Raw genomic sequence first — 24,862 nt, forward strand, 5'->3', positions numbered from 1 at the left:
TAATCCCAACACTTTGGAAGGTTGAGGCAGGTGGATCACAAGGTCAGGAGTTTGAGACCAGCCTGACCAACATGGTGAAACCCCGTCTCTACTAAAAATACAAAAATTAGCTGGGCATGGTGGCGTCTGCCTGTAATCCCATCGACTCAGGAGGCTGAGGCAGGAGAATTGCTTGAACCCGGGAGGCAGAGGTTGCAGTGAGCCGAGATCACACCGTGGCACTCCGGCCTGGGCGACAGAGCGAGACTCTGTCTCCAAAAAACTAAACTAAACTAAACTAAAATAAACCAACATATTAAACTTTAATAGGATTATTGATCTGAAAACCAAAACATGGTAGGAATTAGTTTATAAGTCATATTTAGACGCATCATCTTATAACCCTCTCAGCAAAACCTGTGGGGCAGGTAGATTATGGATAACAAGTGTTCACTTCATGAATTGTCCCTGTTGATCAGGTGAAGTAGAACTTGGATCTGGGGCAGCTCTTGTGACTCCAGATTCTTGGTTTTTGAGCAGGTGTTGGGGGAAATACCTTTCTTGTTGAAGTTCTTTAGTACTCTTTTTTTTTTTTTTTTGAGATGGAGTCTTGCTCTGTTGCCCAGGCTGGAGTGCAGTGGCGCGATCTCAGCTCATTGCAACCTCTGCCTCATGGGTTCAAGCTGCTCTCCTGCCTCAGCCTCCCGAACAGCTGGGATTACAGGCACACACCACCACGCCAGGCTAGTTTTTGTATTTTTAGTAGAGACGGAGTTTCGCCGTGTTGGCCAGGCTGGTCTTGAACTCCTGACCTCAGGTGATCTGCCCACCTTGGCCTCCCAAAATGCTGGGATTACAGGCATAAGCCACTGCACCCGGCCCATCTTTTAATAAGAGCTCAGCATATTCATACTTGATTGATCAGCATTTTCGTCATTAGAAATGAGGTGGGGTTTTTTTGTTTTTGTTTTTTTGTGTTTTCATTTCAAAGATTAAAAACCTAGAGAGGAAGGAGAGTATTTGGGGAAAATGGTGGAAGAGGGAGCACCAGTCATCTGTCTCCACACCTAGACATCAATTGTACTGGCAGGATCTGTCTGATCTAACTATTTTGGAACTCGGAAGTCTACTGAGGTTTACACATTCTTGCTGGGATGGCAAACTGTGGTTAATTTTGGTCAGTTTCAACTCTTAGCACAGTAGCAGCTATGCACTCCCCAACCCCAGTTCTGTGGAAGGCGGCTACGCGGGTGTTCCTAGAGCTTGCACACAGCGTGGGAGCCAGAATAGGCAAAAAGCATCTTGTCCTCTAAATATTTGGGGTCTGTGCTCTGACTGCTGATTGCTGCTTCTGATCGTAGAGGTGCAGACAAAGAGATGGGTGGCCATTGTCGTTACACCTCCTCATTATTGCAAGTTCTTCCCCCTCCAATTAACAAGACTTCCAGGGGATTTAAAGAGCTAATGGTCCTGCTCCCTTGCTTCACTTTTATTTTTTCCCATTTGGGAGCCAGATGTTAGAGAATATGACATTGAAAAGCAACTGCATATAAGGGGGAGAATTAAGAAGTGACTGTGCATGCCTAGGAAAAGGTATAGGCACAGTAAAGACCTGAGAAGACCCTGAGTTTATACCCAAGACTGATCTTTGGCACAGACGGCCTACAGTAAACAAAAAGAATCACACACACATCCACACACAGAATAACAAAACCCAGTAAACTTGAAAAGGGGAGGATCTGATTTTCTGAATTACCACAGTATTAGATTCAAATGTTCAGTTTTCAACAAAACAAATCACGAGGCACACAAAGAAACAGGAAAGTATGCTCTTCCAAGGAAAAAAAAAACAACTGAAACTGTGAGACCACATAGTAGACCTACTAGAAAAAGATTTTAAAACAACTGTCTTAAAGATATGCAAACAACTAAAGAAGATGTGGCGCTGGGGGCGGTAGCTCATGCCTGTAAACCCAGCACTTGGGGAGGCCAAGGCAGGTGGATCACTTGAGGTCAGGAGTTTGAGACCAGCCTGGCCAACATGGGGATACCCTGTCTCTACTAAAAATACAAAAACTAGCTGGGTGTGGTGGTGTGCACTGGTAATCTCAGCTACTTGGGAGGCTGAGGCAAGAGAATCGCTTGAACCTGGGAGGCAGAGGTTGCAGTGAGCCGAGATTGTGCCATTGCACTCCAGCCTGGGTAACAGAGTGAGACTCCTTCTCTAAATAAATAAATAAATAAGATGTGGAAAAAGGTAAAACAGCGTATGAAGGCTGGGTGTGGTGGCTTACGCCTGTAATCCCAGCATTTTGAGAGGCAGATCAGTTGAGTCCAGGAGTTCAAGACCAGCCTGGCCAACATGTTGAAACCCGGGTCATCGCTAGTAAATAAGACAAAAATTAGCTGGGCGTGGTGGCACAAGCATGTAGTCTCAGCTACTCAGGAGGCTGAGGCAGGAGAATCACTTGTACCCGGGAGATGGAGGTTGCACTGAGCCAAGATCGTGCCACTGCACTCCAGCCTGGGCAACAGAGACAGATTCTGTCTCAAAAAAAAAAAAAAAAAAAGAAAAAAGAAAGAAAAGAAAAAGGAAAACAGTGTACAAATAAAATGTAAATATAAATAAAGAGATAGAAACCCTAAAAAGAAACTGAAAATAATTCTGGAACTGAAAAATACAATAACTGAAATGAGAAATTCACTGGAGGGATTCAAAGGCAGATTTGAGTAGGCAGATGAAAGAATCAGTGAATTTGAAGATAAGATATTAAAATTATCAAGTCTGACAAACAGAAAAATGTTTGAAGAAACATGAGCAGAGCCTAAGGGTCATCATCAAAGAGACTAACATGTTTTCTGGGAGTTATAGAAAGAAATGAAAGGGGGAGAGAGATTATTTGAAGAAATAGTATCTGGAAGCTTCCCAGATTTGACGAGAGACATGGATATAAACATCTAGGAAGTTAAACGACCTCCAAGTAAGATGAACTCAAGGACACCCACACCAAGACACATTACAATCAAACTCCCAAAAGCGAAAACCAAAGAACCTTTGGGCTGGATTCAGTGGCTCACACCTGTAATCCCAGCACTTTGGGAGGACAAGGCAGGAGGATCACTTGAGTTCAAGCTCAGCCTGGGCAATATAGTAAGACCTCATCTCTACTAAAAATCAAAAAAATTAGCCGGGCGAGGTGGCATTTGCCTGTAGTCTCAGGTCCTCGGGAGGCTAAGGTGGGAAAATTGCTTGAGCCTGGAAGGTCGAGGCTGCAGTGAGCTATGATTGAGGCACTGCACTCCAGCCTGGCCTACCGAATGAGACCCTGTCTCAAAAAAGGATTCAACCTGAGGAAGCTGACTAAAAAAACAAACTTCAGAGAGGAGAGAAATGCCTCCTCATATACAAGGGACCCCCAATAAGATTATAAGCAGATTTCTCATCAAAAACTTTGGAGGGGTCAGGTGCAGTGGCTCACATCCATAATCCCAGCACTTTGGGAGGCTGAGGCAGGTGGATCTCTTGAGGCCAGGAGTTTGAGACCAGCCTGGCCAACATGGCGAAACTCTGTCTCTAAAAATACAAAAATTAGCCAGGGATGGTGGCGTATGTGCCTGTAATCCCAGCCATCTGGGTGCCTGAGGCACAAGAATCGCTTGAATCTGGGAGGCAGAGGTTGCAGTGAGCTGAGATCAGGACACTGCACTCCAGCCTGGATGACAGAGTGAGAATCTGTCTCAAAAAACAAAACAAAACAAAAAAACAAAGTTTGGAGGCAAGAATACAGTGGGCTGATATATTCAGAGTGTTAAAAAGAAAGAAGACCTGTCAACTAACCATCTAATACCCAGCAAAACTGTCCTTCAGAAATGAAAAAGAAATTAAGATATTCCCAGGTGAACAAAAATGGAGGGAGTTCATTAGCCACAAGACCTGCCCCGCAAGAAATACTCAAGTGAGTCCTGCAGAGGGAAATTAAAGGATATTAAACAGTTACTCAAAGCCATATAAAGAAATGAAGATCTTGGCCGGGCACGGTGGCTCATGCCTGTAATCCCATCACTTTGGGAGGCCGAGGTGGGTGGATCATGAGGTCAAGAGATGGAGACCATCTTGGCCAACATGGTGAAACCCCATCTCTACTAAAAATACAAGAATTACCTAAGTGTGGTGGCTTGTGCCTGTAGTCCCCAGCTACTCAAGGAGGCTGAGGCAGGAGAATCGCTTGAACCCAGGAGGTGGAGGTTGTAGCGAACTGAGATCTGGCCACTGCGCTCCAGCCTGGTGACAGAGCAAGACTCCGTCTCAAAAAAAGAAATGAAGAAAAAAAAAAAAGAAAAAGAAATGAAGATCTCAAAAGTGAAGGATATGTGCAATTTTAAAAGCTAATATTACTGTAACAATGGTTTATAATTGCATTTTTGTGTTCTACATGATTTAAGAGACTAAAATGCTTTTTTAAAATTAGTCTAAAAGCTAGTAGTATTGTAATGTTGGTTTGTGAATCCACATTTTCTTTTCTTTTCTTTTTTTTTTTTTTTTAGATGGTGTCTTGCTCTGTCACCCAGGCTGGAGTACAGTGGTGTGATATGGGCTCACTGCAACATCTGCCTCCCGGGTTCAAGTGATTCTTGTGCCTCAGCCTCCCAAGTAGCTGGGATTACAGGTGTGTGCCACCACACCCAGCTAATTTTTGTATTTTTAGTAGAGACGGGGTTTCTCCATGTTGGCCGGGCTGGTGTTAAACTCCGACCTCAGTTGATCTGCCCGCCTTGGCCTCCCAAAGTGCTGGGATTATAGGCGTGAGCCACCGTGCCCAGCCCACATTTTGTTTTCTACATAATTTAAAATAATTTTTTTGGTAAAATAATTTCTAAAGCATTTAAAATAATTATTTACTTTATGGTTTGGGGCACACAGTTTATAAAGGTATAATTTTGTGATATCAGTAAGCAAAAAGGTTGAGGACCCAGCTGTAATGGAGTGGAGCTTTTCTGTGTTACTGAAATTAAGCTGATAGAAATTTAAATTAGTGTTATAACTTTAGGATGTTAAATGTAATCCTCATGGTAATGACAGAGAAAATCACTGTAGAATATACACAAAAGGACATGAGAAAGGAATTTAAATATTTTAATGTACCCCCAAAAATCAACTAAACACAGGAGTAGACAGTAATGCAGGAAACTAGGGACAAAAACCTTAAGGCATATACAAAACAAAATGACAAGCCAGGCGCGGTGGCTCACGCCTATAACCCCAGCACTTTGGGAGGCCGAGGCGGGTGGATCACGAGGTCAGGAGTTCAAGACTAGCCTGGCCAAGATGGTGTAACCCCGTCTCTACTAAAAAAACAGAAAAATTAGCCAGGCATGGTGGCGGGGACCTGTAATCCCAGCCACCCGGGAGGCTGAAGCAGAGAATTGGTTGAACCCAGGAGACAGAGGTTGCAGTGAGCCAAGGTCACACCATTGCACTCCAGCCTGGGCAACAGAGTGAGACTCGTCGCAAAAAAAAAGGAACAAAATGATAGAAATAAGTCCCTGTTTATTGGTTAATTACCTTAAATGTAAATGGATTAAACTCTCCAATCAAAAGACAAAGATTGTCAAAATGGTTTTTAAAACCAATCTGGGCTGGACGCAGTGGCTCACACCTGTAATCCCAGCACTTTGGGAGGCCAAGGTGGGTGGATCACCTGAGGTCAGGAGTTCGAGACCAGCCTGGGTAACATGGTGAAACCCAAACTCTACTAAAAATACAAACATTAGCTGGGTGTAGTGGTGCATGCCTGTAATCCCAGCTACCCAGGAGGCTGAGGCAGGAGAAATGCTTGAACCTGGGTGACAGAGGTTGTAGTGAGCTGAGATTGCACCATTGCACTCCAGCCTGGGCAACAAGAGCAAAACTCCATCTCAAAAAAAAAAAAAAAAACAAAAAACAATCCTACTATATGCTATATATAAGAGACTCACGGCCAGGTGCAGTGGCTCAAGCCTGTAATCCCAGCAGTTTGGGAGGCCGAGGCCAGCAGATGACAAGGTCAGGAGATCGAGACCATCCTGGTTAATATGATGGAACCCTGTCTCTACTGAAAAGTGGAACCCTGTCTCTATTAAAAAATACAAAAAAATTAGCCATGCTTGGTGGTGGGTGCCTGTAGTCCCAGCTACTCAGGAGGCTGAGGCAGGAGAATGGCGTGAACCCGGGAGGCAGAGCTTGCAGTGAGCCGAGATCGCACCACTGTACTCCAGCCTGTGCAAAAGAGCGAGACTCCGTCTCAAAAAAAAAAAAAAAAAAAAAAAGAGAGACTCACTTTAAATCCAAATGTTGCTGGTGAAAGGATAGAAAAAGATATTCCATGCAAATAGTAATGAAAAGGGATCGGGGTGGCTATTCTACTATCAGACAAAAAGAGTTACAGAATTGCAGGAAGAAATAGACAGTTCTACAATAAAAGTTGGAAGCTTTAATATCCCACTATCAATAATGGATAGAAAAATAAAGAAACTTTACATGATAAACCAACTAGATTTAACAGACATTTATAGAACACTCTACCCAATAACAATAGCATACATTTTCTCAAATGTAGATGGGATGTTTTCCAGGATAGACTATATGTTAAGCCACAAATTAGTGTCAATAGATTTTAAAAGATATACAAAGTATGTTCTTATTGCAACCACAACAGGATAAAGTTAGAAATCAGTAACAGAAGGAAAATTGGAGAATCCACAAATTTGTGCAATTAACCATATACTCTTAGTCAACCAAAGGGTAAATAAAGAAATTACAAGAGAAATTTAAAAATACTTAAAGATGATTGACAATGAAAACACACATACCAAAATTTATGGGACAGTGAAAACAGTGCTAAAGGAGAAATTTATAGCTTTAAATATATACATTAAAAAATAAGAAAAATCTCAAATCAACAACCTAAACTTTACCATTTAAGGAACTAGAAAAGGAAGAAAAACTAAACTCAAAACTAGCAGAAGGAAGGAAATAATAAGATTAGAACAGAGGTAAAGGAAATAGAGACTAGAAAACAATAGAGAAAATCAGTGAAACCAAAAGTTGAATTTTTGTAAAGGTAAACAGAATTGACAAACCTTTAGCCAGATGGATCAAGAAGAAATGAGAGAAGACACAAATGATTAAAACCAGAAACAAAGTAGACCCTTACTATTGATTCAACAGAAACAAAAAGGATTATGACAGGATGGTGATCTGTTGAATACCAACAGATTGGATAACCTAGATGAAATGGACAAACCCCTAGAAACACAAAACCTACTGAGACTAAACCGTGAAAAAATAGAATACCTGAGTAGATCTATAATTAGTAAGAGGATAGAATCAATAATCAAATATCTCCTTGTAAAGAAAAGCCCTAGACACGAAGCCTTCACCAGTGAATTTAACCAAGCATTTAAAGAAGAACTAACACTATTTCTTCTCAAATTTTTCCAAACAGTTGAAGAGGAGGGAATACTTCTGAATTCACTCTATGAGGCCAGAATTATGCTGATATCAAAACTAGAAAAGATAACCACAAGAAAAATACACATCAGTATCCCTCATGAACATTGATGCAAAAATCTTCAAGAAAATACTAGCAAGTAAATTCAGCAGCATATTAAAAGGATTATACACCATGACCAAAGTGGGATATATTTCTGGAATGCAAGGATGGTTCAACATATGAAAGTCAGTTACCTAATATGCTGTTTTAACAAAATGAGGGACAAAATCACATGGTCACTCCACTGGTCCATAAAAAGCACTTGACAAAATTCAACACCCTTTTATGGTAAAAACACTCAACAAACTGGGAATAGAAACTACCCCAACATAATAAAAGCCATATATGAAAAACAGTGAACAATTATACTTAATGGTAAAAAACGGAAAGCTTTTCCTCTAAGATCAGAAACAAGGCAAAATGCCTGCTTTTGTCACTTCAGTTCAACACAGTGCTGGAAATTTTAGCCAGAGTCATTAGCCAAGAAAAAGAAATTAAGAGGCATCAAAATTGGGAAGGAAGAAGTAAAAGTATCTCTGTTTGCAGATGACATGATCTTGTATGTAGAAACCCTAAAGATTCCACAAAAAATTGTTTGAACTAATACATGAAACTGACATAGTAGCAGCATACAAAGTCAATGCACAAAAATCAGTTGCATTTCTAAACACCAACAATGAATAATATGAAAAAGAAATTAAGAGGAAAATTCCACTTAAAATGGCATTAAAAAGAATAAGGAGGTGAAAGACTCATACAATGAAACATGAAACATTGCTGAAAGAAATTAAAGACATAGGTAAATAGAAACACATTGTATGTTGAGAAATTGGAAGACTTAACATTGTGTGTTTGGTTTTTGGAGACAGGGTCTTGCTCTGTCACCTAGGCTGGAGTGCAGTGGCACAATCACAGCTCACTGCAGCCTCAATCTCCTAGGCTCAAGTGATCCTCCCACCTCAGACTCCCAAGTAGCTAGGACTACAGGCATGCACAACTATGCCCGGCTTTTTTTTTTTTTTTAATTTTTTGTAGAGATGGGGTCTCACTATGTTGCTCAGGCTGGTCTTGAACTCCTGGGCTCAAGTGATCCTCCTGCCTTGGCCTCCCAAAATTGTGGGATTACAGGCATGAATCACCCCGACTAGCCTGACTTAATATTGTTAAGCTGTCCATACCACCCAAAGTAATTTATAAGTTAATTCAATACAATTTCTATCAAACTCCCAAGGCCATTTTTTGGCTTGGGAGTTTTAGAATATAAAAATTTATTCTAAAATTCATATGGGATCTCAGGAGAACCTGAAAAGCCCCAACAAACCTGAAAAAGAACAAAGCTGGAGATCTCAAACTTCCTGAACTTAAAACTTAACTGCAAAAATGCAGTCATTGAAACAGTGTATTGGACTTGGCTGTGGTATGAAGAAATAAGAAAAAGAAGAGAACAGCATGATACATAAAAATAGACATAGAGACCGATGAAATCAATAGCCCAGAAATAAACCCTCTTATATAGTCAAGTGAAATTTTTTTTTTTTTTTGAGACAGACTGTCACTCTGTTGCCCAGGCTGCAGTGCAATGGCGTGATCTCGGCTCACTGCAACCTCCACCTCCTAGGTTCAAATGATGCTCCTGCCTCAGCCTCCCGAGTAGCTGGGACTACAGGCGTGTGGCACCACACCTGGCTAATTTGTGTATTTTTAGTAGAGACAGGATTTCGTGTTAGCCAGGCTGGTCTGGAACTCTTGACCTCAAGTGATTCGCCTGCATCAGCCTCCCAAAGTGCTGGGATTACAGGTGTGAGCCACCGTACCTGGCCCAGTCAAGTGATTTTTGATAAGGACGTGAAGATTGTTCCACAGGGAAAGGACAGTCTTTTCAACAAATGGTATAGGGGAAACTGGATATTCACATGCAAAAGAATGAAGTTGGACCCTTACCTAATACTACATTCAAAAATTAACTCAAAATGGCCGGGGCCTGGTGGCTCACACCTGTAATCCCAGCACTTGGGAGGCCCAGGCAGGCGGATCACTTGAGGCCAGGAGTTTGAGACTAGCGGGGCCAACATGGGGAAACTCTGTCTCTACTAAAAATATAAAAAATTAGCCAGGTGTGGTGATGCATGCCTGTAGTCCCAGCTACTCTGGAGGCTGAGGCATGAGAATCACTTGAACCCGGGAGGTGGAGGTTGCAGTGAGCCAAGGTTGCACCATTGCACTCCAGCCTGGGCAACAGAGCGAGGCTCCATCTCAAAAAGAAACAAACAGACAAAAAACTCAACAATGAAAAAACCCAATTCAAAAATGGGCAAAGGACTTGAATAGATGTTTCCCCAGAGAAGGTAAACAAATGACCAATAAGCATATGAAAAATGACCATCACTAATTATTAGGGCATGCATGTCAAAACTATACCCCACACCCATTAGGATGGCTACTGTCAAAAAAAAGAAAAAAAGGAAATAACAAGGGTTGGTAAGGATGTGAGAAATGGGAACCCTGGTGCATTGTTCACAGGAATGAGATGATGCAGCCAATACTAGAAAACAGTATGGTGGTTGCTCAAAAAAATTAAAAATAGAATTACCATATGATACCAAAATTCAGTCCTGAGTACAGTATGTACCCAAGATAATTGAAAGCAGTATCTCAAAGAGATGTTTGTACACTCATATTCATAGGAGCCTTATTCACAGTAGTTAAAATGGGGAAGCAATCCATGTGCGTCTATCAACGGATGAATGGATAAACAAAATGTAGTATGTACATACAAGAGAATATGAGTAAGCCTTAAAAAGGAAGGAGTTCTGATATGTGCTATAACACGGATGAACCTTGAAGATACTGTGTTAAGGAGATAAGCCAGTCAGAAAAAAGGCAAATACTGTATGGTTCCATTTGTATGAGGTATTTAGAGTATTCAAAATCACGGTAAAAGGAATCTGAGGAGATTAAAAAAAAAAGAGTAGTCAAAATCATAAAGACGGAAAGTAGAATGGTAGTTGCCAGGGGCTGGGGGGAGGGATGAATGGGGAATTATTGTTTAATAGAGTTTCAGTTTTACAAGATTAAATATTCGTGGAGATGGATAATGGTGATGATTGAAGAGCATTATGAATGTATTGAATACCACTGAAATGTATACTTTAAAAAGGGATACTGGTAATTTTACGTTATGTGTATTTTAACATTAAAAAATTGGGGGATGAGGGCTGGGCATGGTGGCCCACACCTGTAATCCCAGCACTTTGGGAGGCCAAGGCGGGCAGATCACGAGGTCAGGAGATCGAGACCATCCTGCCTAACACGGTGAAACCCCGTCTCTACTAAAAATACAAAAAAAGCGGGGCGTGGTGGCGGGCGCCTGTGGTCCCAGCTACTCAGTAGGCTGAGGCAGGAGAATCGCTTGAACCCAGGAGGTGGAGGTTGCAGTGAGCCAAGGTGGCGCCACTGCACTCCAGCCTGGTGATAGAGTGAGATTCCATCTCAAAAAAAAATTAAAATTGGGGCATGAGGGCAGGGTGCAGTGGCTCACATCTGTAATCCCAGCACTTTGAGAGGCCCAGGCAGGAAGATCCCTTGTGCCCAGGAGATTGAGACCAGCCTGGGCAATATAGTGAGACCTTGTCTCTACAAAAAAAAATTAAAATTACCTGGGTGTGGGGCACACGTCTGTAGTCCCAGCTACTTGGGAGGCTGAGGTGCGAGGATCGCTTGAGCCTGGGAGGTTGAGGCTGCAGTGAACTGTGATTGCACCACTGCCCTCCTACCTAGGTATATTTGTTTTTTGGTTTTTTTGTTGTTGTTGTTTCTTGTTTTTTGAGACAGAGTCTTGCTCTGTCGCCCAGGCTGGATGCAATGGCACGATCTCGGCTCACTGCAACCTCCGCCTCCTGGGTTCAAGTGATTCTTCCTGCCTCAGCCTCCCAAATAGCTGGGATTACAGGCATCTGCCACCACGCCCAGCTAATTTTTGTGTTTTTAGTAGAGACGGGGTTTCGCCATGTTGGCCAGGCTGGTCTCGAACTCCTGACCTCAGGTGATCTGCTTGCCTTGGCCTCCCAAAGTGCTGGGATTACAGGCGTGATCCACCACGCCCAGCCCTGTTTTTGTTTTTGTTTTTTCAACAGATGTAATTTCTGACTTGTATACCTTTTCAATCAAGAATATGTATGGACTGCAGCCTGATGAAGTTTTTCACTCCTTTAGTAATGTCCTCCTTGTTTTACATTTTCAAAGCCTGCATAGTTACAGATTCATTTGTTTTCAACGTTTCCCCAGGGGAAGACGGAATCTATCACTGTGGTGAAGCTGCTGAGCTGCTTTGATGACCTGGTGGCAGCAGGCACAGCCTCTGGCAGGGTTGCAGTTTTTCAACTTGTATCTTCATTGCCAGGGAGAAATAAACAGGTGAGTACTCATGATCTTAACACGTGTTAACTTCTTGGCACATTCCTCATGGATTTTTAAAATTAGAAATCCTCATCTGCTTAGAAAGTTTATGCTCAGAGAAAGCCGGGCACGACTTTCTCTGCCCAGGCTCATGCCTGTAATCCCAGTACTTTGGAAGGCCAAGGCGGGCTGATCACGAGGTCAAGAGATCAAGACCATCCTGGCCAACATGGTGAAACCCCATCTCTACTAAAAATACAAAATTTGGCCGGGTGCAGTGGCTCATGCCTGTAATCCCAGCACTTTGGGAGGCCGAGGCAGGCAGATCACGAGGTCAGGAGATCAAGACCATCCTGACTAACACAGTGAAACTCCATCTCTACTAAAAAATACAAAAAATTAGCCGGGTGTGGTGGCGGGTGCCTGTAGTCCCAGCTACTAGGGAGGCTGAGGCAGGAGAATGGCGTGAACCCGGAAGACGGAGCTTGCAGTGAGCGGAGATCACGCCACTGCACTCCAGCCTGGGCGACAGAGGGAGACTCCATCTAAAAAAAGAAAAAAAATACAAAAATTAGCTGGGCGTGGTGGTGCGTGCCTGTAGTCCCAGCTACTCGGGAGGCTGAGGCAGGAGAATCACTTGAACCCGGGAGGCAGAGGTCACAGTGAGCTGAGATTGTACCACGCTACTGCACTCCAGCCTGACGGAGCGAGACTCTGTCTCAAAAAAAAAAAAAATGCTCAGAGAAGCTTAACACTGTGCTGTTTATAATTGGAGAACATTTTTGTGCTGGGTTGGACACTTGGCATAAAGTACATGTGGGTCATTTCATTTTTGCTTAATATTCTCAAGGTATGCTCTCTGTGGGTTTTGAAGGTGACTAGACAGATGGAACTTTGTGCAGGGTTCTGCTTGGAAAACGAGATTGGGAAAACCAGCTCTTCCCTAACTAGGAGTGATTGTATACCTTTTCCATGTAGCCCCAGCTCACAGCATTTATCCTTTTTTTTTCTTGTGTATATTTTTATCCCTTGTTCATAGCTTCGGAGATTTGATGTCACTGGTATTCACAAAAATAGCATTACAGCTCTGGCTTGGAGCCCCAATGGAATGAAATTGTTCTCTGGAGATGACAAAGGCAAAATTGTTTATTCTTCTCTGGATCTAGACCAGGTAAAATTATTTTCAGAAATACTGTTGGCTCTTACCTTCTTACATTTGGAAAAACTATATTTATAACTTGTATTTTTAGTCAACTTGTATTCTTGATCATCATCCCTTTATAATCTCAATTGTTATTTGTAACATTTACTTTTATAGACTTATGTTTTATAAGCTTCCACTTCTATGACTAAGGAGTTGGCCTACTGGAACATTCACTTTTTTCATTCCACTGTTGTGTATTACTTTTACTTGAAAAAGAAGCTATTATCATTCCTACTTCCTTGAAAGGTTAGTAGGAGTGATGCCAAGCACTTCTGAATCCTAACTGTGGACAAGTCAGTGATTTCAATGGATGGAGGACTCTGCCAGCCACCTGGCCTGTGTGAGATGACCTCATGTGACAGGAAGTGGCAGAGGAGGTTAGGTGGCAGTATGGTGAAGATGAAGAAACTGGAGTGCCAAGAGATCCAGGAACTAGTCCAGGGGTGCAGGCTTGCACCTCACAGAGCTTGCTTTCAAACTGTGCTTCTGCTTCGACGCCCGTGCCTTTTCCACTGCACGTATGGCTTGATGATCTGCTGGGTTTTATTTGTTTTGTCATGTGTCTGCAACCAAACTGAACTCCTTGGTGGCACAGTCCTTTCTTTTTCTTATTTGTAGCCTTCATTCCTAGAGCACTATAGGAATTCAGCAATTTTTTTTTTTTTTGAGACAGTCTCGCTCTTGTCGCCCAGGCTGGAGTGCAGTGGCCCAATCTCGGCTTGTGACAACCTCCATATCCCGGGTTCAAGCGATTCTGCCACCTCAGCCTCGCAAGTAGCTGGGATTACAGGGACCTGCCATCATGCCCGACTAATTTTTGTATTTTTGTAGAGACGGAGTTTTACCATGTTGGTCAGGCTGGTCTTGAACTCCTGACCTTAGATGATCTGCCTGCCTCGGCCTTCCAAAGTGCTGGGATTACAGGCGTGAGCCACCACGCCCAGCCAAGAATTCAGCAATTATTAGCTGCATGACTTTCAGTCCCTCTGATCCAAGACTGACCTAGTACAAATATTCTCTAGTAGTAGTTCTCAAGCTTTGTAGTCACAGGATCCCTTTACACTCTTAGAAAGAGGACCCCAAAGCATTTTTGTTCATATGGGTTATCTCTACCAAGTACACCATGTTAGAAGTTACAACTGAGAAATTTAAAAATATACATATTTTTTTGAGATGGAGTCTCGCTCTGTTGCCCAGGCTGGAGTGCAGTGGCGCGATCTCGGCTCACTGCAACCTCCGCCTCCCGGGTTCAAGGGATTCTCATGCCTCAGCCTCCCGAGTAGCTGGGACTACAGGCACCTGCCACCACGTCTGACTACTTTTTTGTATTTTTTGTAGAGATAGTGTTTCACCGTTTTAGCCAGGATGGTTTCAATCTCCTGACCCTGTGATTGAAATCTCCCACCTCAGCCTCCCAAAGTGCTGGGATTACAGGCGTGAGCCACTGCGCCTGGCTGAAATTTAAAAATATTTTACTTTGAAATAATAAATCCATAACATCTGCACATAAGTGACATATTTTGTGAAAATATCTCTATAGCTCTATTTTCAAAACAGGTGAGAAGAGTGAGTGGCATTGATTTATATTTTTACAAATTTCTTTATTATCTGGCTTAATAGAAGATGGCTGGATTCTCCCTAATCTCAAGTAATCAGGGACACAAACACTGCGGAAGGCCGCAGGGTCCTCTGCCTAGGAAAACCAGAGACCTTTGTTCACTTGTTTATCTGCTGACCTTCCCTCCACTATTGTCCCATGACCCTGCCAAATCCCCCTCTGTGAGAAACACCCAAGAATTATCAATAAAAAAATAAATTAAAAAAAAAAATAAAAAATAAAAAATAAAAAAATAAAAACACACCTCACCAAGCTCAGCCACCAACTTAAAAAGGACTGGACAATACTTTTACCACTTTCCCTTCTCAGAATTCAGGCCTGTCCTCGGAATGCTACAGGGTACAGCCCATTTGAGCTCCTGTATGGATACTCCTTTTTGTTAGGCCCCAGTCTCATTCCGGACACTAGACCAACTTAGACTGTGCCCCCCCTCAAAAAAAAAAAACTTGTCATCCCTACTATCTTCTGTCTAGTCATATTCCTATTCACCATTCTCAACTAACTCATACATGCCCTGCTCTGGTTTACACTGCCGGTTTACACTGTTTTTCCAAGCCATCGCAGCTGATATCTCCTGGTGCTATCCCCAAACTGCCACTCTTAACTCTTGAAGTAAATAAATAATCTTTGCTGGCAGGACTGTGCTGAATCTCCTTAGGCACTCTCTAATCAGATATCCTGAGTCGTCCCAATTCTTAGACCTTTTATACCTGTTTTTCTCCTTCTGTTATTCCATTTAGTTTCTCAATTCATCCAAAACCATATCCAGGCCATCATCAATCATTCTATATGACAAATGTTTCTTCTAACATCCCCACGATATCACCCCTTACCACAAGACCTCCCTTCAGCTTAATCTCTCCCACTCTATGTTCCCACGCCGCCCCTAATCCTGCTTGAAGCAGCCCTGAGAAACATCGCCCATTCTCTCTCCATACCACCCCCCAAAAATTTTTGCCGCCCCAACATTTCAACACCATTTTGTTTTATTTTTCTTATTAATATAAGAAGGCAGGAATGTCAGGCCTCTGAGCCCAAGCCAAGCCATCACATCCCCTGTGACTTCCACGTACGTATACGCCCAGATGGCCTGAAGTAACTGAAGAATCACAAAAGAAGTGAATATGCCCTGCCCCGCCTTAACTGATGACATTCCACCACAAAAGAAGTGTAAATGGCCTGTCCTTGCTTTAAGTGATGACATTACCTTGTGAAAGTCCTTTTCCTGGCTCATCCTGGCTCAAAAAGCACCCCCACTGAGCACCTTGCGACCCCTGCCCCTGTCCACCAGAGAACAACCCCCTTTGACTGTAATTTTCCATTACCTTCCCAAATCCTATAAAACGGCCCCACCCCTATCTCCCTCTGCTGACTCTCTTTTCGGACTCAGCCTGCCTGCACCCAGGTGAAATAAACAGCCATGTTGCTCAAAAAAAAAAAAAAAAAAAAAAAAAAAAAAAAGAAGATGGCTGGATTCTGCATTCAATCTGTTGCCATACATTGTTTTGATTGAAGTGTATAAAGAAAAACTGGCTTTACACAGACATGTAGTTGGAAATGGGAGGAGTATTTTGATAGCCTTTTCAGATAGTTGTGGACATTCTTTAATAATATCCTCATATGACTACCTCATAAAGCAAATGGTAGTTGCTTTAAAGGTTACGGTGACAAATGACAAATGGTAGTTTCTTTAAAGGTTAGTAAAAATGTGGAATCTGAAACCACATGGATGAATTTTTCCTACTCTGTTACATTAAAATCTACTTTACCCATGTTGGATTTTGTAACATTATGTATTGGTCACTTAGAAAATACTATTCACAGAGTGATGCAGATCTTCCAAATGTTGACACTTTTTTTTTTTTTTTTTTTTTTTTTGAGACATGGTCTTACTCCTCTCACCCAGGCTGGTGCACAGTGGTGCAATCACGGCTCACTGCAGCTTTGACTTCCCAGGTTCAGGTGATTCCCCCACCTTGGCCTCCCGAGTAGCTGGGACTATGGGTGCACACCACCATGCCCAGCTGATTTTTTTGTATTTTTATAGAGACAGGGCTTCGCCATGTTGCACAGGCTGGTCTTGAACATCTGGGCTCAAGCAATCTGCTCACCACAGTCTTCCAAAGTTCTTGGATTACAGGTTTGAGCCACCGTGCCAGCTGATAAATTTTCTAATACAATATCAAAAAAATACCTTCATTAACATCAACATCATTGTAATCGGGAAAGTCTAGCTATAAGGAATCATGTCAAGTTCACAGGGACAGATACAAGTTTTCAGATTGCTAATCTTTGTGTGAGAGCAACAAATACCATTACTTGTTTTCCTTGAAGTGACAGGCTTTTTTTTTTTTTTGAGAAAATGTCTGCTAAATACCCAAATTTGAATAATTACAGCATTTCAAATAAAAATGGTGTTTTGTGAAAAAAGCAGCTGGCTCAGCTCATAGCTGCAACAGTTGCACAAGTGGTTTCCTTGAGAGAACCACTGAGTGTATTTCAGTGTGCAGCAGAAGGGAGAATACAAAAGTACCTATCCTCTGGCCAGGTGTGGTGGCTCACACCCGTAATCCCAGCACTTTGGGAGGCCAAGGCAGGATGATCACTTGAGCCCAGGAATTTGAGACCAGTCTGGGCAACATGGCAAAACCCCATTTCTACCAAAAAACATAAAAATTAGCCAGGTATGGTGATGCACACCTGTAATCCCAGCTACTCTGGAGGCTGAGGTTGGAGGATCAGTTGAGCCTTGGAGGTGGAGATTGCAGTGAGCTGAGATTGCACCACTACACTCCAGCCTAGGCCAAGAGCCAGAACCTGTCTCAAAAAAAAGGTTTGCAACATTTTCATGTAATGGAAATTTCTTTATCTTGATTTTGGTGTTGGTTACATGACTATAAATTTGTCAAAATTCATAGAATTGTATACCCAAAAAGGGACGAAATTTACTGTAAGTTTTACCAACAAATCTGATCACTGCCCCCTACTTCCCTCACAAAATGTCAGTGATGTTACAGCAGTATTTCTGAAATAATTGATGAAACTTTTCATATATATATTGGATTTCATATATATGAAATATACATATATTTCATATATATATAATGTATATATATATATATTTTTTGAGACAGAGTCTCACTGTGTTGCCCAGGCTGGAGTGCAGTGGTGCGATCTTGGCTCACTGCAACCCTTGCCTCTGGGTTCAAGTGATTCTCCTGCCGCAGCCTCCCAAGTAGCTGGGATTACAGGCATGTGCCACCTCGCCCAGCTAAATTTTGTATTTTTAGTAGAGACGAGGTTTCACCATGTTGGCCAGGCTGGTCTCGATCTCCTGACCTCAAACGATCCACCCACCTCGGCCTACCAAAATATAGGGATTACAAGTGTGAGCCACTGCACCCGGCCTGATGACACTTTTCTGTAAAAGTAACTTACAGAATCAGATTTTTTATACAATGAAATATGCTTTGTGTTAGCAGTCGTATGCCTTCTAGAATTTTATTTTGTGTTTATATATAAAATATGGTTTTTTTTTCTTTTTTAAAGACAGAGTCTCACTCTGCTACCTGGGCTAGAGTGCAGTGGTGTGATCACAACTCACTGTAACCTGAACTCCTGGGCTCAAATGATCCTTCTGTCTCAGCCTCCCAAGTAGCGGGGACCATAGGCACGTGCCAACATGCCTGGCTAATAAAAAAAATTTTTTTGTAGAGACATGATCTCACAATGTTGCCCAGGCTGGTCTTGTAAAGTATCATTTTATGTTAATAGCATTTTATATATTTAATATCATTTAATTTCTTCTAACCTTCTGTTTTCTATTACCCTTTCAGTTGGCAAGGATATAATGTCCTCAAAGCTGCTTTGAACCCTTTGTGAGGGGAGACTATAATATGAACTTACAGAGCTGATTATTGTCGCAATAATTTTATAGAATGTTCCATTCCATTGTTTTATAATAGAATAAGCAATACACACAGTGCAACAGATTTCTGTTTAGATCTTTATGGATTCTTCTTTGAACTCTCTGCATGTTTACTGCATCATCCCTGAGCCTGCTATGGTGCACAGTAAAGAATGTATCTACTGAGGACATGTTTTTAAAAATTATGCAGATTTTAAAATGTTTCCTGTCAAACTGGATGCAGCATGAGGGAGATGTTAGTATGGACTCTTTTCCCATCCGTCAAATAATCTCGCTATGGTGGGTTGAGAGTGAATCTGCAGAGAGTGAAAGCATGCGTTAAGTAAGGTGCAAGCTGACCTAAGCACAGCTAGCGGGAAGGACACTGACTTGTCCTAAGGGAGGTCCATTCTTTAGCCTGGCGCTGATGTGAGGTGTAACCAGACTTTCTCTGCCAGGGGCTCTGTAACTCCCAGCTGGTGTTGGAGGAGCCATCTTCCATTGTGCAGCTGGATTATAGCCAGAAAGTGCTGCTGGTCTCTACTCTGCAAAGAAGTCTGCTCTTTTACACTGAAGAAAAGTCTGTAAGGCAAATTGGAACACAACCAAGGAAAAGGTAAGTTTCACAAGTTTGCCAGTTTGGCCTAAATGCTGGGCCTTGTTGTAGAAGGTGCTTTAGGGTTTCTTAGGTCTCCTGTTTGCCGGAGACCTCCTGTTTGCAAACCCACAGCGCCTCTAAGCCTGGGGTTCCTGGTGGGGCCCTGTGCCTGCTTAGGATTTCTCCTCCCAGAGGCAGACAAGAAGAGTGTGTTCTTCTTGTCGCAGAGCTGTAGGAGCCTGCACACACAGCCACTCTGCCTCTCAGGGTGCCACAGTCAGCGCAGAGAAGCCTCAGGGGTGGCCTGGTCTATCTGTTCCTTGTGGAGCCACCTCCTCCACACAGCCCTGGTGAGGGGTCAGGGTTGTGGGGCTCACTCGTTATTCAGCACGTGTTTACCATGCACCCCTGTGCACTGTGGCAGGCTCAGCAGTGACATGGTAAACACGGCAGATCTGAGCCCTCCGTTGTGGAAATGGAAACACAGATAGAACACTTGTTGACCACTGTGTCAGCTGCTGTGGACCAAAATACACAGGATGCTGTGTGAGTTTAGACACACTTTTGTCCAGGTGAAGGGTCAGGGAAGACATCCTGAAGGCATGGGTTCCAGGTTGAGAGATCATTCCTCCTTTGACCAGTGATGTGGAGGAAGGGCATCGAGAAGTCCACCAGCCATACCAGCCGTGTGGGAAAAGACAACTGGAACACCTGGGGAACCTGTAATTCATCATCCCACCCTAGCCTGTAAAGCACTCTTGTAGGACTCTGCAGCGAGTTTGCGTGGGGATGGGGTGAGGAGGGGTAGGTAGAGCAGTGGAGCTGACCCCTCCTATGCCAAGGAGGAGGTAGACTGGGGCCAACGTGGGGGTGGGAAGCAGAGGGCGGCATTAGTACAGATCATGCGTTGATGAGTCTACAGTCATGGATTGTCGATTGGCCGATGGGAGCTGGAAGAGTTCCCGTCTTGTGTCTCCCAGGAAAGGGCACTGTTTGCCTGCATAGAATCAGGGGCAGGGCAGCTGATGGTCACGGCATGTGGGGAGGGCTTGAGGCTGGCCCTGTGGAGAGTGACAGCAGGGACTGGGAAACATGGTGAGATTGGCAGGCGTTGATGAGGCCCTGCGGCTGGTGGTGCCGTTGGGGACAGGCCGTCCTGGAGAGTCGGGTGAGGCGGAGCCAGCCCCTGTGGTCGTAGTCACTGCCCGTTATTCTGTGTTCTGGGCTTTGCGGCAACACACAAGTTTATTCTCTTTTCTGCATGGCAGCCCTCCGGCTGTTAAAAGACGCTCTCAAACCTCCCCTTTCTTCTATTTTCGATGCTGAACACCTTCTTTTTTCTTTTTCTTTTTCTTTTTTGTTTGAGACAGAGTTTTGCTCTTCTTGCCCAGGCTGGAGTGCAGTGGTGCGATCTTGGCTCACTGCAACATCTGCCTCCTGGGTTCAAGCGATTCTCCTGCCTCAGCCTCCTGAGTAGCTGAGATTACAGGCATGTGCCACCACACCCGGCTAATTTTGTATTTTTAGTAGAGACAGGGTTTCACCATGTTGGTCAGGCTGGTCTCAAACTCCCGACCTCAGGTGATCCGCCTGCCTTGGCCTCCCAAAGTGCTGGGATTACAGGTGTGAGCCACCACATGCGGCCTGCTGAACACCTTCTTAATCCCATCAACAATCTGGCCTTTTTATATCTGCAGTCTCCCTTTCGGTCCCTGGAGAACTCAGTGGAATTTATGGCCCTGCAGATCTTAGTTCTGCTGCTCTCTCTGCCAGTATCCTACTCCTCTGGCATTTTATCCTGGTTCGTCTGTCAATGTTTTACTGCACTGTCTTGGAAGGAAGGCAGAGTGTAAAGAGAGGCATTGAAAACCAATTACTTTACATGTGGGTCCTATTCCCAACAATCTCTCTTAAAACCTGGCCCTTGGCCGGACACAGTGGCTCACGCCTGTAATCCCAACACTTTGGGAGGCCAAGGTGGGCGGGTCACTTGAGGTCAGGAGTTCAAGAACAGCCTGGCCAACATGGTGAAACCTCCTCTCTACTAAAAACACAAAAGTTTGCCAGGCAGGGTAGCAGGCGCCTGTAATCCCAGCTACTCAGGAGGCTGAGGCAGGAGAATCGCTTGAACCGGGGAGACAAAGGTTGCAGTGAGCTGAGACTGCACCACCGCACTCCAGCCTGGGTGACAGAGCGAGACTTCATCTCAAAAAAATCGAAAACAAAAAAACAAAAAACAAACCTGGCCCTTTAACCTCTTGTGTGGAGACCCAGGCAGTTTCTGTAAACCTCTCCTAGTGCGTCTGTGCAGTCAAGTCTTTAGGGAACATTGATTGAAAGCGTGCTCTGCTCCCCAGGAACGTTTTAGGATGCAGAAACAAATAAATGTGTCCCCTTCTCAGAAGGAGAGAGATTTTACTGAGCCTTGGGGAAATGAGGGCTAACAGAATAAGAGGAAATGTTTTTAACATCTGTGTCTTAAAGACTTGCTTTCTGCTGTAGACTATTGTGTGCGTCTATCCCTGGAAGCAGTGCTTCCCTCACAACTGTTTAGTGAGCGGAGCTAGGCATGTACACGTGGAGGCGTGACAGCAAGTACGGAGGCATCCAAGGAGACAAGGCCTCTGCCCTCAAACACAATGAGAGAGACTGTCGGTCAGCAGGAGGAGAGTAGAGGCTGTCAGTGCTGTAAAGGAGCGGGCTAGGTGAAGCATTAGGGAGTGCTAGGCATGGGGCAGGAAGTTGCATTTGGATAGGATGGTCAGGAAAGGCCTCTACAAGGGCAGTGATCTTTGAGCTGAAGCCTGGGAAGAGCTGCTGGAAGAGCATTCCAGGCTCAGGGAACAGCATATGCCAAGACCTCAATTGGGCAAGAGCTTAGATGTTCAAGAAGCCAGAAGTGACTAGGGCACTGGCTATGGCTGGAGTCCAGGGGAGCCGTGGGGAGGCTGACACGGGAGTCCAGGGGAGCCGTGGGGAGGCTGCCATGGGAGTCCAGGGGAGCTGCGAGGAGGCTGGCACGGGAGTCCAGGGGAGCCTGGCATGGGAGTCCAGGGGAGCCGTGGGGAGGCTGCCACGGGAGTCCAGGGGAGCCGTGGGGAGGCTGGCACGGGAGTCCAGGGGAGCCACGGGGAGGCTGCTGCAGGAGTCCAGGGGAGCCGCAGGGAGGCAGGGGAGCCGCAGGGAGGCTGCCTTGGGAGTCCAGGGAAACCATTGACTGAGATGGAGACTGGAGACTGGGGAAGGCTGGGCCAGAGGTCAGGACATCAGGACCTCTGCTGTGGACATAAGGGGTTTGACGGGCCTGTCAGGTGGCTGCGTGGGAGTCGCAGAAGAGAGTTCTGTGGACCGGTCTGGAGCCCAGGGAAGAAGTCTTGACCAGAGGGGAAAATGAGGTCACCAGATACAGGTGACACTGACACCCTGACATTGGATGAATCCACGCAGGGAATGTCTGTTCATTCAGCGCTGGAGCTTTGCGCCAAGCCTCTGCCCTGCTCCAGTACTCCTCATCGGGGGATATCTGTGAACAAGGCAGAACAGATCTCTAATCTCAGGGAGCTGTGTGCAGAGTAGTGAACAGATAAACATGTCAGAGGGTGCAGAGCCAGAGAGGGAGGAGCAGGAGACACAGGTGTCTCTTTAATAGGATGACAGGGAAGGCTCCTCTGAGGAGGTAGCATGGGCTGATTCCTGAAACAAAGAGGCAACTAGTGCGAGAAGACCTTAGAGAGAGGCTCTGGAGGCAGAGGGCCCTGCGCACCGAGGATCTGAGCAGCCAGGCTGGCTGTGTGGAGCACGGTGTGGGGAGCCCCCTCCCGTCGGCTTTGTGGGCCCTGCCCATGGGGCTCTTTCAGTCCAGTGCTGTGGTCAGTCACAGAGGGCTGTGGCCAAGCCAGGGAGGTCACTCTGGCTGCTGCTTGGAATATGCTGGAGGGGGCAGGTGTGGCAGCTCAGCAGGGCCAGCAAGGATTCTGGGTGATCCGGGTAGGAGAAGACAGGATGGGGCGGGGTTGGTGGTCGGACTGCTTCCAAGGCAGAGCTGGCAGATTTGCTGCCACGTTGGTTCTGAGGTGTGAGAGGGATGAGTTGGAGATGATTCCTAGGTCTGTGGTCTATGCAGCTGGGTGAGTGGACATGCTGTGGATTGACGCAGAGAATCCTGGAGGCACGGGGAGAAGGAGGAGATGGAACAGCCTGCTGTGGCCCCGCCATGTCCTCTCCCTGCAGTGGAGAGCTGGCGTGGGAGGCGGGTGGCGGGTGTACCTCTCGGGGAGCTGTGCGCTGGCAGCCACTGGCATGCAGACAGGAGCTCGCCTAGGGAGATTTGGGCAGGCTTGTGTTCTGAAGAGGAAAGGGCATCAGGAGAGAACAGGAGTTGGGGGGTCAGAGGAGTCGGAGGCCATATGGAGGGACATAGCAGCTGCTGCGAGACCGGGGGCTGAGGCAGCTTCGACGGGCCTGAGTCTGTAGCATGGAGGCTGTGCACAGCCCTCCTCATCAGCAGGGCCAAGGGATTGGAAGGGCTGAAAGAGGAGTTGACGGCGAGTATGGAGAGCTTTTAGGAGGAGTGTTTTTGTAGAAGAGAACAAAGAAAGACAAATAGGTGGTGCCCAGGGGGGAACCATGTGGCCTGGTGGGAGTTTTGGGAGAGGGGCCGTGTGGCAGCACATTGGTGTGTGACGCGGGTGCCTGTGGAGGGAACACAGTGCTGGTGGGGACAGAGTGCAGGCGGTGGCCTCAGTTGGGCCCTCTCATGGGCAGCAGTGTAGGGTTGACCAGAAACCGGGACAGAGACTCTCTTCCAGAGAAAGGGCAGGGCACTGAGCACAGGGCAGGTGCAGGCAGGTCAGGAGGCCCAGAGGTAGAAGACGAGGGGTCCTCTTCCCGTCGAGTCCGTGAACCTCTTCAGACCGGATGATGTGTGTTACATCCAGAAAACCTCAGAGGCCCTAGCCATCTGCAACCGTGGGTTTGCTGTCCTGTGTATTTATGTTGCATTGTTTCATGTGTCAGAGCCCTCTGCAGACCTGTTACTGTGTCCCCTGTGAGTCTAGTACTCAGGGAAGCCCTCCCTGGCAGTAGCACTTTGCCCTGGGGAAGGAGAAGGAGACGCAGCAATCTGTAGGTGTGGCGCCCGCATGTGGGTAAGAGCCAGCAGCCGGTTCTGGAACCCCGCGACTAGCACATCTGTTTGGATGGCCAGTGGGTGTTAGCTGTTGAGATCTCTGGCAGGGCTTCTGTGGATCCTTCTTCTCACTCAGCTTAGACTTTCAGGCTCCCATTTTGGGTGCTGTCAGCTTTCAGCGTATCAGCTCTGTGGCACCATACATTATGCACAAAATCATAAAACACCATTTTATAGCTAGAATTTGTTAGCCAGAACACACTCCTTACATATCAACGTGGTCTATAAAGGGAATTAAAATTTTTTTAGGTAATCAATGAGGTTTTTGGAAATCATCTCTACCGAAATTAAGAAATTATATTAATTTGTTTATGATTTTAGAATCCTGCAATACTTAGACCTTAAAAGTTGGAGCTTCAGTGTCAAATTCAGAAAGCACCAGCAAGTACTGCAGAATCGCACTGCAAGTGGATGGTGGCTGAGTCGGGGGCTTAGGACAAT

The 24,862-nt window shown here is 45.0% G+C and overlaps 1 protein-coding gene across 2 annotated transcripts in view, besides 1 other annotated feature; it reads left to right on the plus strand.

Moving 5' to 3' along the window:
• TECPR2 (tectonin beta-propeller repeat containing 2) overlaps nt 1–24,862 on the plus strand; it is a 139,537-nt gene that overhangs the window by 32,602 nt on the left and 82,073 nt on the right. For both annotated transcript variants that reach the window (NM_014844.5, NM_001172631.3), the window contains exons 3-5: nt 11,796–11,924; nt 12,946–13,077; nt 19,094–19,251. In NM_014844.5, the coding sequence (NP_055659.2) occupies nt 11,796–11,924; nt 12,946–13,077; nt 19,094–19,251 (419 nt within the window). The remainder of the gene's footprint in view (nt 1–11,795; nt 11,925–12,945; nt 13,078–19,093; nt 19,252–24,862) is intronic.
• Nucleotides 15,268–16,257: an enhancer, noted in NCBI's record as "OCT4-NANOG-H3K27ac hESC enhancer chr14:102877147-102878136 (GRCh37/hg19 assembly coordinates)". NCBI's record gives its function as "activates a minimal SCP1, AML or CMV promoter by ChIP-STARR-seq in naive and primed H9 embryonic stem cells {active_cell/tissue: H9 hESC(naive and primed)}" and the evidence as "EXISTENCE:reporter gene assay evidence [ECO:0000049][PMID:30033119]".

The sequence above is a fragment of the Homo sapiens genome, chromosome 14 (genome assembly GCF_000001405.40).
Source record: "Homo sapiens chromosome 14, GRCh38.p14 Primary Assembly".
Lineage (NCBI taxonomy): Eukaryota > Metazoa > Chordata > Mammalia > Primates > Hominidae > Homo > Homo sapiens.